The sequence below is a fragment of the Homo sapiens genome, chromosome 3 (assembly GCF_000001405.40).
Source record: "Homo sapiens chromosome 3, GRCh38.p14 Primary Assembly".
Classification (NCBI taxonomy): domain Eukaryota; kingdom Metazoa; phylum Chordata; class Mammalia; order Primates; family Hominidae; genus Homo; species Homo sapiens.
Window position 1 is genome coordinate 100,812,975 of NC_000003.12, and position 12,772 is coordinate 100,825,746.

The following is a 12,772-nucleotide window of genomic DNA, read 5'->3' on the forward strand; positions in this document are numbered from 1 at the left end:
GGCTCAAGCGATCCTCCTACCTGAGCCTCCTAAGTAACTGGGACTACAGGCATGCACCACTATGCCCAGCTAATTTTTGTATCTTTTGTAGAGTTGGGGTTTTGCCATGTTGCCAAGGCTGGTCATAAAATTCTGAGCTCAAGCAACCCATCAGCCTTGGCCTACCAAAGTGTTGGGATTACAGGTGTGAGCCACTATGCCTGGCCTATTTACAAGCTTGAAGGGCAGTATGTTTTAAAGGGTTCACATTATTTTTGTGGAAATTTTATTATTTTTACTGAAGTGAGAAATTTCTCCTTCCTTGATGGTCACAATTGAACTAGTGTTCTTTTAGCACAAATTTAATTTACTATTAAAGAGAGCCACAAACTTGTAACTGTTGAAAAAATAAGGATAAATAATAAAATCAGTTCTTCTAAGTGGTTTGTCAACCACTTAATCAGATATGTGGTTATTTTCTAGAATGATACAAATGCATTGAAAAGTATTTTTATACATTCAAATAGTAATATTAATGTATTACTAATTTAACAATATGGAATCACAAAAAAGAGCATTGTGCAATATTTACAGTTATTAATGTATATTCCTTTTTCATTTTTTATCTTTGGAAATATAACTTAGAGAATTACAGTATGCCTCTTAAAGCACACAGTATACCCAGACAGATAAAACAATCTATTTACCAGGTTGACTTTCTGTCATTTCTAGGCTTGGTGATGTCACTGGTTTCAAAATAAGAGTTTGCAGTTCAGTCAGAGCTGAAAGAAGAGGGTCTCAATTGTAAGAGTAATTTTCAGTTATTTATTTCATAGGTTTTAGACAGAGGTAGCAGTGAAATAAAATACACAGACCCTGAAAATCATGAGGTTATGGAGAGCCATACAGAATGTGCCCTATTTAAAGCAGAGGTCAGCAAACTATAGCCCTTCCAAGTCTAGCCAGTGGGCCAATAATGATTCTCACATTTTTTTTAAGCGATGGGAAAAAATGAAAAGTGGTATTTCATGACACGTGAAAATGGCATGAAATTCAAATAAAGTTTTATTGGAACATAGCCATAGAATGAACTAAAATTGTTCAGGGCATATTCATGAATCAGCTTTGGTTGCCTTCAAGCTAAAACAGCAGAATTGAGTAGCTATAACAGAAACTGAACAGCCCACAAATTCTAAAATAGTTATTGCTTAACTTTTCACAGAAAAAAAAAAATTGCTGACTCCTGATTCAAAATGTCCTTCTGAAAAAGCAGGAGCCTATTTGGAAAATTAAGTTCTCATGGACTATTGTATCTGAATCTCAGTTCCTACAAGAGCTAAGAGCTGCCTATAGCTGATTTCATGACAGTAATATTAACAAAATGTTGAATATCATCTAGGAGTGTTTTGTTCTATATTTTAGTTTCACCATCCCCTTAGCCACCATTGACAAGTATTGATACTTGTTTTATTTGTGCTGTTCCCACCCTTCCACCCTCTAATCCAAATCCTATAATTATTTCAAAGTCCAACTACTCTCTGTCATCAGCCCACATCGTTCCTTGACTCCTGTAAATATTTTGTTTTTACTACTCAATTAAACAAGAACTCTCATAGGAGGAAATTGCTCTATATCTAGAAAACTGTATCTAAGAAAACCTTAGGGTTTCTTCATGATTACTTTGTACTTTAAGAGGTAAAATGTGTCCTTTCTTTTGGTTTCTACCTCTGTTCCTTATTCCACCCCACTCAACTGTTAATATGGTGTTGGGTACACAAAGAATGAGGAAATGATTGTCTTCTTAAGCAAAAGTAGCAGCACCATTGAGAAAGAGATGAATGAAATGGAATAAGAACTGTATAAGATCGATCCTTTGTTAGATACAGTCCTTATGTAGGGCACACGATGAATTTAGCCACTGGATAGATCTCCCTCAGCTATGAATCTAATAATGAGCCCTGTAATTGTCAAGCTGTTGACCACTGTAAGTGCCTTTTCTCTCAGAAGGCACAGAAATGATATTCAAGCTTATTGTCATACCTGTGATTCAAGTGCAATGGGCTAAGACTCCTTAAACCTTCTAAAACCTAAGCCATAGATTTTCGTTATTTCAACTGAGAGGGTTTAGGGAGTTTAAGGTCTGAGGGATGGAATAACCCCTATTCATCCTCCTTTATGTCTTTGAAACTAAAAGATGATGATCTTAGGTTGCTATAGTGTTTGTAGGTCTAGAAATCATTGAAAGCATTGTATGTAGACTTATGTTTTCTAAAACATGTTAGATTTTCTTGAGTTTATTTCCTAAATTAAAAAAAATTACTTTGTTTCTGATCATCACTAAGGGTTCCTTTAGAGACCAAAATCACATATGAAGTGATTAAAGGAATAAATATTGAACATGCATAGATATTCAGAGGGATTCCTACTTAGCGAAGATTAAGAGCCATTACTAAACAGTAGTGAAGAACAGTGGTCAAGCTTATCAATGATTGAGGAGCCTGGAACTTTCAGGGAAATCTATTTTAATGTAATAGGGACACCTTATTCCTTAAAATAGGAAGAAAATAATGAGACTAAGACACAGGTTTTATAGAAACTAAGTTACTCAAAGGGAGTTCATGGTACTTAATTGTTGCTTTATAGATCTAAATACCAAATGGAAGGGTATTTAGATCTATAAATACTAAATACCAATTTGGACCTCAGATTTAACACTGAATCATATGGTGCAAATTTAAAGAGAGTTTCATGCTGGACAGCTGTCCTTCACTGGGTCCAGGGACATCTGCGAAAAACAACAGGTAACACTTGAATTAAAACTGCTGACTATTTTAAAATGAAGTGTAGAATGGAATAACAGCGTCTTAGGAAGCAGAAGCAACTCTGGTCATGACAGTGCTCAAGTGCGTTTTTAAATGGCAATAAAAAGCATTTAATGCAAGTCACAAAAATCATTACCAAATGTTGTTCCTGGAGCATCAGTACTATGAACAACAGGTTCAAAGCCTGTAACAGAAACTAACCAAAAGCAACAACATGAATACAAGAAAGCTTAAAGACTTTTTAAAAAAAATCCTCAATTTTTATTTTAAAACATGAGTTTCAAATGATACACAATTTTTTAAAACTTTTGAATTGATAGGCAGCATATAGTTGCTTTTGGAAGATTTGGCCACACTAGCTAGAACAATTCATCAAAGAAGGTAGTTACAACCTTTGAACTCTGTTACATATCTTGATATTATCCACATGAGGTTTTCCTAGGTATTTGGTTTTCTAACTAGTATGGATATTTGGCTTTGGAAATTTGTTTAGGCAACAGATACGAAAATACAGAGAGAAATATATATGAAAGTAACTTGTTGCTTTTCTTGGAAGTTGAAAATAAATGCCTGTTTATGTAATCATAACAAATGGATCACATGTTTCAATGCAGATATAGCAATAAATACCCATGAGTATGCTAATCTCGCTGTAAACACATCTTTAAAGAGGGACCAAGAACGTCATCCAAACCAAGTCATTTAGGAGATCAGGCACACAAGTGGCTCCAAGCCATGTTCTCCTGGATAGCTCTGTACGAGAAGCAGTTGCTACCCATGTTAAATAATTTGATTCTTAGAAAACATGATGACTGTTACTTCCCGTCATAGGCATTTCTTTAGGACTTTATTGGGACAGCCTGCCAGGGTTCAGGTTCCTTGGCTACTTAAGCCAAGGATTCATACATTTACCCGATTTGTTCTGAGGTACTTCAGGACTTGATGTAGTTTTGGGTCTGGGACGGGGACGACGTGTCCGTTGTGTTTTAGGAGCTGAAGGAAGAAACTTTGGATTACTCTAGTGCAGGTGGCTTTGGAGACAAAACTTTAGGTTTTTAAAGGTATGTCATATTTCCTTGAGATTTAAGTCATATGTCTTTTAAGATTAAAATATTTTCTATTTTGTTAATTTTCTTAATCACTGAAGATTCTTGAGAGAGAAAACTTACATATAAAATCAAGTTGAAAAGTGAAGAGACTCATACATCTTTAACTTCAGAAACACTAGAGCCAAACTCTGGATGATAGAGTCTCAGGCTCACACTAAATCTTTTGAGTATGCCAAAGAATCCATGATACCATAAGAACTGTTAGAGTTTAGTCAGTTTAGATATGATATAGCCACCAGCAACTGTGTTTGAAATTTAGCTTCAGACATGAGTGACATGAATGCTGTTTAGACAAAAGTACATGACACAAATTCAAATAAGATTACATGGTAGACTCTGAACTAGGTCCATGCATAGCTTTTGAAAATAATAGGTAACTTCTAAGGATCACTAATACTCAAATATAAAGTTGAAGGACAATATAAAGTTGAAGGATAGCAGAAGATGACAAGATAGTCCTACAAAGCTGATGACAATGTGATTATGATAATGATGGAATGGATTTGAAAATAAGGAGGAAAAAGTTATTCAGGAACACAGAATATCATTACCTAACGTTGTTTCTGGAAACTTGGTTCTAAAAGTGTCAGGTTCAAGGACTGTAGTAACAACTAGACAAAAATAATAAAATAAAGCAAAAAGATTTAACTTGAATATTAATTTCACAGTTCAATTTTTAAGCTTCAGAACTTAAAAGTAAGGCTTGTTTTTTGCAGATTTGGCCAAACCATGGTCAGGTACCCATTAGTCTCATAAGACAGATTTGCAAGACAGCATTGCACTCAGCTTAATATCACTATGTGGTCAACAAAACATTCTCCTAGATGTTTGATTATCTGATTCTTGCTACACATTAGTGGAAGATTGTTGGACAAGCTTTTTACACATTTGCATAATATATGCTTTTCTAACTGTATTGAAAAAGGCGTTTATCAGTCTACTTGCACTTCTATAGAAGTTGGGATAAATATCTTGTTAACTACTGTCTAAGTAACTATGGATACAATAAAGAGTTCATATGTATGAAAGCATAAAGAACACCATGTAATTAATAAACTGTGCTTATCAAAATCTCAAAGTATTCCTTGATTCAGTAAAAGTTAAGAAACTGTTAAATCTTAATAGAGATGAATAAAGAGTCAGTCTATCCTATTATGGAAGCCTCTCATTAAAACTTTCAAGACTTACGTACATTTTACAATTTGACAATTTACTAAAAACATCATTCCTTGAAACAAAAAAATCAATGTTACACAGATCCTAATAAAATGAAAAATAATATGAGCAAAGAAACACTGTGCTTCCCTACAATTGATGAGGAATAAGCAGCATAAATAAGGGATAGAGATTCGTGCTTGAAATGCAGCTTAAAATGGTCAATGCTCTTTAAACGAATGCACATGATCGCATGACACATTGAACGGTTAAAAGCAGTTTGATGTCCTGATATTAGTTCATGCACAGTTCTCTCAAATTCAGCTGATAATGTGACACAGAGCCTAGCATAATTTCAAGATAAAGACTATAATGGAATGATGACAAAGAATGACAGGATGGTCTTATGATGAAGAAGAAACTGACTACAGTGGTATGACAATAAGCAGGAAAAGCACTATTTGAAGGACACACATTCTCATTACCCATGGTTTTTGGAGCTTCAGTTCTGAGAGTACCAGGTTCAAGATCTGTAGAAGGAACTAATTAAAAGCAATGAAATAAACTTGTGAAAAGCCAGTAAATTATATCTTTCCATTATAATACTGCTTCAATCAGTATATAGCAATTTTAAGAAATTTTCTGAAACTTGATACTTGTTATTTGAAGACTTGGCCATCTTATAGCCAGATAAACAATTTTTTTAAAAGGCACTTAGTCACAGCCTACACAATTTGGCACACATCTCAATAAAGCCCATGTAATATTCTCCTAGGTGTCTGAGTACTTAGTTCCAACTATTGTAGAAGACTGCCCTAGAAGCTTATTCAGACATTTTGCCAAATATATACTTATTTAACTGTCCTAGTAACTGTTGGCATGTTTGTGGAAGCTTTAACAGTGTGTCTAAATGAGCACGAATACAGTCAACAGCCTGTTTGAGAGAAGACATAGCAAAGAATAAAGCAAAGTGAATCATAGGCTGAGATTTCATTTGCAGTAAAGGCACTCAGCAAATCAGGATAAGGGACAAACATGCAGAGTAGCTCTCTACTCTCTAATCATAAAAGTGCAGGACCCTAGATGGGTGATGCTTCTTGGGTCAGATGCAAACTTCCGAGTCATATCTTCAAGGACTTTCTTCAACTGCTCTTATAAACCCTTCCAAATTCAGCTGTCATCACTACTTAGAAGCCGAATCCTGTGTGTTTCAGGAAGCATGTGCCCTCTGACTTGCCTCTACTCTTCCTGTCTGACTCTCTTCATCTTTAAGATTTTAAGACCCAACTTCTTTCCAATTATTTATTCTTATTCTTCATAACATTTTCTTTTTCTAAGCTTTTAGATGTGTATAGCACCCCTCAAAACAAGTTCAATTTACCCAGATACACTCCCTTGCTTCAATCTTTGAATGTTTCATACTGGGACAGGTTTTGATCTTGACTATACTACAGAGTAAGATGTGAAAAACAAGCTTCCTCCTCCTGTGATAGCCTCACAGTTGTTGATGTGGCTGTGGGAAGATAGAAGGCACTTAATTTTTTTTCTAGAAATAAAAATGCCTGGTTCTATTTAATGCATTTTTGTATTTATGAGGACAATTGAATGAAATAAAAAGTAGTAAATAAGAGGCCGGGCGTGGTGGCTTACACCTGTAATCCCAGCACTTTGGGAGGCTGAGGCAAGCAGATAACAAGGTCAGGAGTTTGAGACCAGTCTGACTAACATGGTGAAACCCGTCTCTACTGAAAATACAAAAATTAGCTGGGTGTGGTGGCACGCGCCTGCAATCCCAGCTACTCAGGAGGCTGAGGCAGGAGAATTGCTTGAACCGGGAGGTGGAGGTTGCAGTGAGCTGAGATCGTGCCACTGCACTCCAGCCGGGGCAACAGAGTAAGACTCCGTCTCAAAAAAAAAAAAAAAAAAAAAAGAAAGAATTAGTAAATAAGATACACAGTAAGAGACAGACCTATATGCAGAAAATGCAAGGAATTCACCTGCCACAAAGATCTATCCCAACTGTGTTCTCCTTTGCTAACTCAACAGGGGGAGCAGTAGCACATCTTTTGTGCCTTCATCCACATGGTACTCACACAGGCCATCACTCCCATCATTGGCATCAGTTATAAATTCCTGAGAGCAGCTAGGATGAGCTACTTTAACCAGAAACCCAAATTTACCCAGTTTGGTTTGAGGAACCTCAGGACTTGGTGTGGTTTTAGTTTTGGGACGTGGACGACGAGTTCGTTGTGATGTTTTAGGAGCTGAAGAAAGAAAACCTTTAGTTACTACAGAGTCCGTAGCTCCGAAGCTATGAGTAGCATGACATACGGTTTGAGATCTCTTAAAACTTACTAGATTTTCTCATATTTCAGGAAATTTGTCTTTTTAACTTTTTAATTAGAAACATTCACTATTACAATTGAAGAAAGTTGATTGGGAGGAAGTGTCACATTCTAAAATGAAATTGCTAAATTAAGAAGTGAAGAATAGTCAATAGGACTCACCAAATAAAAAGGTCAAGAGTCACTGCTAAAATATAGTGGTGGTGGTCAGTTATAAGTTCTTTGACAATTAGTAAAATAAGACCACATAATTAATGAAAATGTCAATCAGAGAATATCACATAGATAGCAAAAATAAATGAGTAAATAGAACTTTAGATTCATAAAGAAACTCTCTGGTATCACAATCATGTTAGAATCAAGAAAACTGCATTTTAAAGTCACCTTTAACAAAAAAATTGGTTAAAAAACACACTGGATGACAAAATAATTTCAGATGGTTACATAGCCAAAACATAGACTGAGTTAGGTTCATGCATGGCTCTTTTAAAAACAAAGGGTGATTTAAGAGTCAGAATTTTCAATACTTTTAGGATGAAGAATATGATGGAATGAAACAGAGAATGATGATGTAGTCTTGAAAAGCATAAGAATCTGCGGCTATGATGATGGAATGGGTTTGACGATGAGAAGGAAGAACACTTAATGAGGATTGCAACGTGCTATTACCTTGTGTTGTCACCCAAGTCTCAGTTCTGAGTGTAACAGGTTTGAGCTCCGCAGTAGGAACTGATCAAAAGCATTAAAATTAACCAAATGATTATTTTAAATGAATGTAAACTCAAAACTTTTCTTCAAAAATGAGTCTTACTAGTATAATACAGCTTATAGAATTATATAGCAACCTTTAAAAACTGTTAAAACTAAAAAAGTAGACAGTTGATTTCCTAAAATTTGACTATACCTAACTCAGGTACCTATTTCCTTATTCCTCATTCTCTGGTTATCTAATTAATAATACAAAATGGACTATGTAGGTATTGCTAAGAACTCATCTTTGGAAAGAGACGGAGGCCTTAGCATGATGAATTGAGTAGGATATTCCTCCATTCTGAGCAAAGAAAGAACATGCCTTCATGTGGAAAGAACAGCTTGCTGATGTCTACCAGATCAAATCTCAACTGCTCCATCAAGGACCTAGGCATCTCCGCCATGGGTATCCATGGTCCTAGTGAGATTCAGAAGGGATTTGCCTGTCATCTTGAAGTAAGACTTTTTTTTTTTTTTTTTTTTTTTGAGATGGAGTCTTGCTCTGTCACCAAGGCTGGAGTGCAGTGGCGCGATCTCGGCTCACTGCAACCTCCACCTCCTGGGGTTCAAGCAATTCTCTGCCCCAGCCTCCTGAGTAGCTGGGATTACAGGCACCCACCACCATGCCCAGCTAATTTTTGTATTTTTAGTAGAGACAGGGTTTCACCATCTTGGCCAGGCTGGTCTTGAACTCCTGACCTCATGATCCACCCGCCTCTGCCTCCCAAAGTGCTAGGATTACAGGTGTGAGCCACTGCGCCCAGCAAAGTAAGACATCTTTATATCAGTTGTCCAGTTAGACTGTCTCCTCTGGTTGGTCTCTACTTGTGTCTTTTCCTTTTGATTTTATTCTTCCCACCCTTCTACTCATCCCTGTGCCTTGGTGATTTCAAGGCTCTATTTCTCCTTAATCTATATTTCCCTGATCCAAATATTTACACACCAAGCACATCTTGTTGATAGCACTCCAAAACCAGTCTTGTATTTGCACAGATACTGCCCCATACCATCTTTTACTTTATTTACAAAGGAAAGGCTTCTGTTCTCAACTGTCTTACAGGTTTGAGGATCAAAATGCATCTCTGACATCTGATGTATACCCCAAATGTGCTAATATGATTGGGAGGATATCTAAGGCACTTAATGTTTGTTGACTTGAGCTGAATATGTCTAATTTTTCTAAAGAAGTTTTATTTTTAAGAGATAAATGGAAGTTAATAAAATGCACAGTGCCAGAAAAGACTGCACAAAGGAAGCATGAGGCATTCACAGTTGCTCCACAGATCTCCTAACAGTGTTTCTCTTACATCTTCACAGTGGGATCTGCTGCTAACCATGAGTTGTAGCTTCCCTCTCACAGGGGCCTATTGGTTACTCCCAACCACTGGGATTACTCTTGAGACCCTACTGGCTTAGGCTGCAGGGACTCTTTAAACCAGGAACACATAGTTTACCTGGTTTGGATTCAGGTGCTTCAGGACGTGGTGTGGTTTTTGTTCTGAGACGTGGACGACGTGTCCGTTGTGATGTTTTGGAAGCTGAAGGAAGAAGTTCTTGGGTTACAACATAACTGCATTATCTATGATTCTGGAAGCTGTGTGAGGTAAAAAAACATGACTCTACTGCTTGATAGATATTTGCCTTTTAGTTCGAGATTTTTGTCACATGCATTCCTCCTTATAGATCTTTTATCATAGAAAGCTCCTTAAGACAAAAATCACTTTTTAATTTGAGAAATAAAGATTAGAAATTTTAATGAAAATCTCATAGGGTAGCTTTACTGGGTACCAAAAAGGTTAAGTACTATTGCCAAATTTTAATGGATAATGAAGGACAGTTCCACTAAATCTGAGATTTACAACTTACTCTTTCAATTTTTGGCACATATTCTATAGAGCTCTTAAAATCTGAACATATTATGACCTTATTAGAGACAAAACAATAAATATCTATGCAAATAGAAAAAAGGGTAAAAATTCAGATGTACAATGGGTTCTCTGGCTTTATGAGAGTTAATAGCCTTATCTGTCCAGGAAGGAGTTAGAAACCCACTAATATGTTTGAAACATAGCTTTATCACAAACACTGTTTAAACAAAACACAGAATAACATGACAATTTCAAGCAGATTATATGGCATATAAACGTCCTCAAGTAGATTCATGCATGACTGCTTCTCTTAAAAACAACAGTTAAGAGTCTTATAATTTCAAGAAGAGTTGAATGGCCATCAAGAATGACACTGTTGTCTCAAGAAACAAATTGAAACTCTAGGTTTGACAATAAGCAAAAGAAGCTTGTCGAAAACACTGTATCAACGTTACCTAATGTTGTTGAGGCCTCAGGTCTAAGAGTGACAGGTTCTAGGACTGTAGCAGGAACTGACCAAAACAACATGTAAATCAAAGAGATTTTTAAACATATGAGAAGTTAGAACACTCACATGCAAACAAATTTTACTGGTATGTCAATTCTTCCAGAGAAACAAAAAAAAAATTAACTTCTTAACTGAAGGAAAGAATGTGTGTTTGTTCATTGATGATTTGGCCAAACTATAGGCATGGTGAGTCTCAGGCTTAGCTGTTGAACTATCTTGAGTATGTTAAAGAAGTCAACATGAAATTCTATTATGTTTTTAACTAATGAATTCTGATATGGAAAACTGCACTGGAAAACATTTTAATGCATTTATCTCACATATACTTAGAAATTGTCTTAAAAGATACAATTACTCTGTACTTCTGAATATTAGCGCTTATTACATATAAGTAAACATGGATACAAGAGACAGTTCATATGTTTGATACCGACATAAAAAAGTAATCATTGAAGTGGACTATGTTCATCTTGCCAAGAACTCATCTATACACAGAGTTTGAGACCTCTGTCCAAACCATGACACCTAAGAGAACAGGGTGGTCACTCAGCCTGTAATAATCGGTAGAGCATCTGTCTGCCCTCAGCCCAGAATAAGTGGAAATCAAAGACTTTTGATGTCTCTGTATCAAATCTAAGCTTCTGAATCAGGTCCTCAAAATCCTTCTTCATCTGGCTTGATGTACCCTTCCAAATGCACCATCATCAACAGTCGTATATGACCATCTAGAAGGAGTCCATCTAGACTGGACTGCCTTTCTAGCTGACCCAACACATGTGGTCCTTCTGCCCTAGTTCATTCTTCCCTCCATTCATCCAAATCCTCAGTGGGCCCAAGGTCCAAGTCCAGCCCACCTCGATCTTATCTTTTGAGATAAAACACAAAGATCATTGCTTTATATTTGTGTCAGGCAAACATATCTTCAACTCCACGCTTTCTGCAGTAAAATAACTCTCCTAAAGCTGACATATCACCCATGGTTGCCAGCATGGGAACGGGAATATGCAAGGCACTTACGATTATGTTTTCTTGAACTGAATATGTTGGCTCTGCTAAAGAAGTTCTACCTTTAAGATGTGAATGGAATTTGACAGTAAGAAATATACTAACTATGTGGTTTCAAAGAAAAGTCTCACATAGAAATAATAAGATATGCTGGCATCAGTTGGGTCTCACCCACACATTATTCTCCTTGAAAGCTGAGCAGAGGAGATGGTACTGATGATGCCTTATGCCCTCGTGCTTAGGGAGAATAAGACCTGTTGCTGCTCAGCATTGACACTGCTTCAGTCCCCACTGCGACAGGCTGCCAGGGATCACCCTTAAACCAAGGAATCACAGATTTACCAGGTTTGGTCTCAGGTGCCTGAGGGCTCGGTGTAGTTTTAGGTCTGGGACGTGGAGGGCGGGTTCTTTTTGATGTTTTGGTAGCTGAAGGAAGAAAAAGCCTTGTGTTACTCTAGGTCTTATGATTCTGGATACTGAGGAAAGGTTTTTCCAAAGCTTGTCAGATCTCCTATAGTTCCAGAAACTTTAGTTGTTTTTAGTTTTACTTTTTCATTCCTTTTATAACGATGCGTCATTTTATCATTGATGGTACTTTTCAGGCAAATTCATGTATACAGTCGAGTTGCTCACTCAAGGAGTGAAGATTAGCACTTGTATTGAGAAACTTATAGAACTTCCTTGCTGGGGGAAAAAAATGATTGGGGCAGAGTACTCAATGAGAAGGGATAGGAAGTTAGAGTCACATTAAGGAAGAGGCTTATAACTTAAGATTTCAGACTTCAGTAATTCCCTAGTTGTCAAACTAGTAATAAGACAACATTACTTAAAGCACTAATAAAGAAAGAAACATACTGGGCATTTTTTTTTTTTTAAATCTAGAAACTCAGATGTGCAAAGGAAAGTAAGAATAGCCGTTATTGCCAATCAGCTTAGATAAGAAATAGATCCCAATTTGTTTTAAACTCAATGTTAATATAGAACTCGGCAAATGAAGCACAGGATGACATGATAATTTCAAATGTGCCACATGGCAGGTAAATATTTTGAGTTAAGCTCATGCCTGGCTCTCATAAAAACAGCAGGAAACTTGTTTTTAGGAGGCTTCAGTATTCTTCAGATGATAGAAATAGTTGAATGGTCACAGGCAGTGATGTTTGCTATTTTGTAGAGGAAGACATGCCATGTTATAGGGATGAAGACTGAATGGACTGTACAACAAGCAGCAAAA

General features: G+C 36.6%; 1 protein-coding gene across 57 annotated transcripts in view, besides 2 other annotated features; it reads right to left on the bottom strand.

Annotated features, from left to right (window-relative positions):
- Positions 1-12,772, bottom strand: part of ABI3BP (ABI family member 3 binding protein) — a 244,266-nt gene that overhangs the window by 63,819 nt on the left and 167,675 nt on the right. For 48 of the 57 annotated variants that reach the window (XM_006713572.4, NM_001377332.1, XM_047447926.1 and 45 more), the window contains 10 exons: positions 11,884-11,967; positions 10,484-10,540; positions 9,615-9,698; positions 8,080-8,139; positions 7,246-7,329; positions 5,551-5,607; positions 4,462-4,521; positions 3,714-3,794; positions 2,938-2,997; positions 687-761 (listed from right to left, as the gene is read on the bottom strand). The exons of 4 other annotated variants lie outside the window; for them this stretch is intronic. In XM_006713572.4, coding sequence (XP_006713635.1) covers positions 687-761; positions 2,938-2,997; positions 3,714-3,794; positions 4,462-4,521; positions 5,551-5,607; positions 7,246-7,329; positions 8,080-8,139; positions 9,615-9,698; positions 10,484-10,540; positions 11,884-11,967 — 702 coding nt within the window. Of the gene's footprint in view, positions 1-686; positions 762-2,937; positions 2,998-3,036; positions 3,795-4,461; positions 4,522-5,550; positions 5,608-7,245; positions 7,330-8,079; positions 8,140-9,614; positions 9,699-10,483; positions 10,541-11,883; positions 11,968-12,772 lie in introns of those variants that run through there. 5 more of the 57 variants (XM_011512645.3, XM_017006105.3, XM_017006106.3 and 2 more) reach the window with 5 other exon arrangements.
- Positions 607-776: an enhancer, noted in NCBI's record as "experimental_63902 CRE fragment used in MPRA reporter constructs". NCBI's record gives its function as "activates a minimal promoter by MPRAs in K562 erythroleukemia cells, with activity observed for both the introgressed and non-introgressed 3:100532510 or rs73135513 variant alleles {active_cell/tissue: K562}" and the evidence as "EXISTENCE:reporter gene assay evidence [ECO:0000049][PMID:34662402]".
- Position 692: a transcriptional cis regulatory region, noted in NCBI's record as "Neanderthal adaptively introgressed variant 3:100532510 (GRCh37/hg19 assembly coordinates) or rs73135513 in the experimental_63902 CRE". NCBI's record gives its function as "modulates activity of the experimental_63902 enhancer by MPRAs in K562 erythroleukemia cells {active_cell/tissue: K562}" and the evidence as "EXISTENCE:reporter gene assay evidence [ECO:0000049][PMID:34662402]".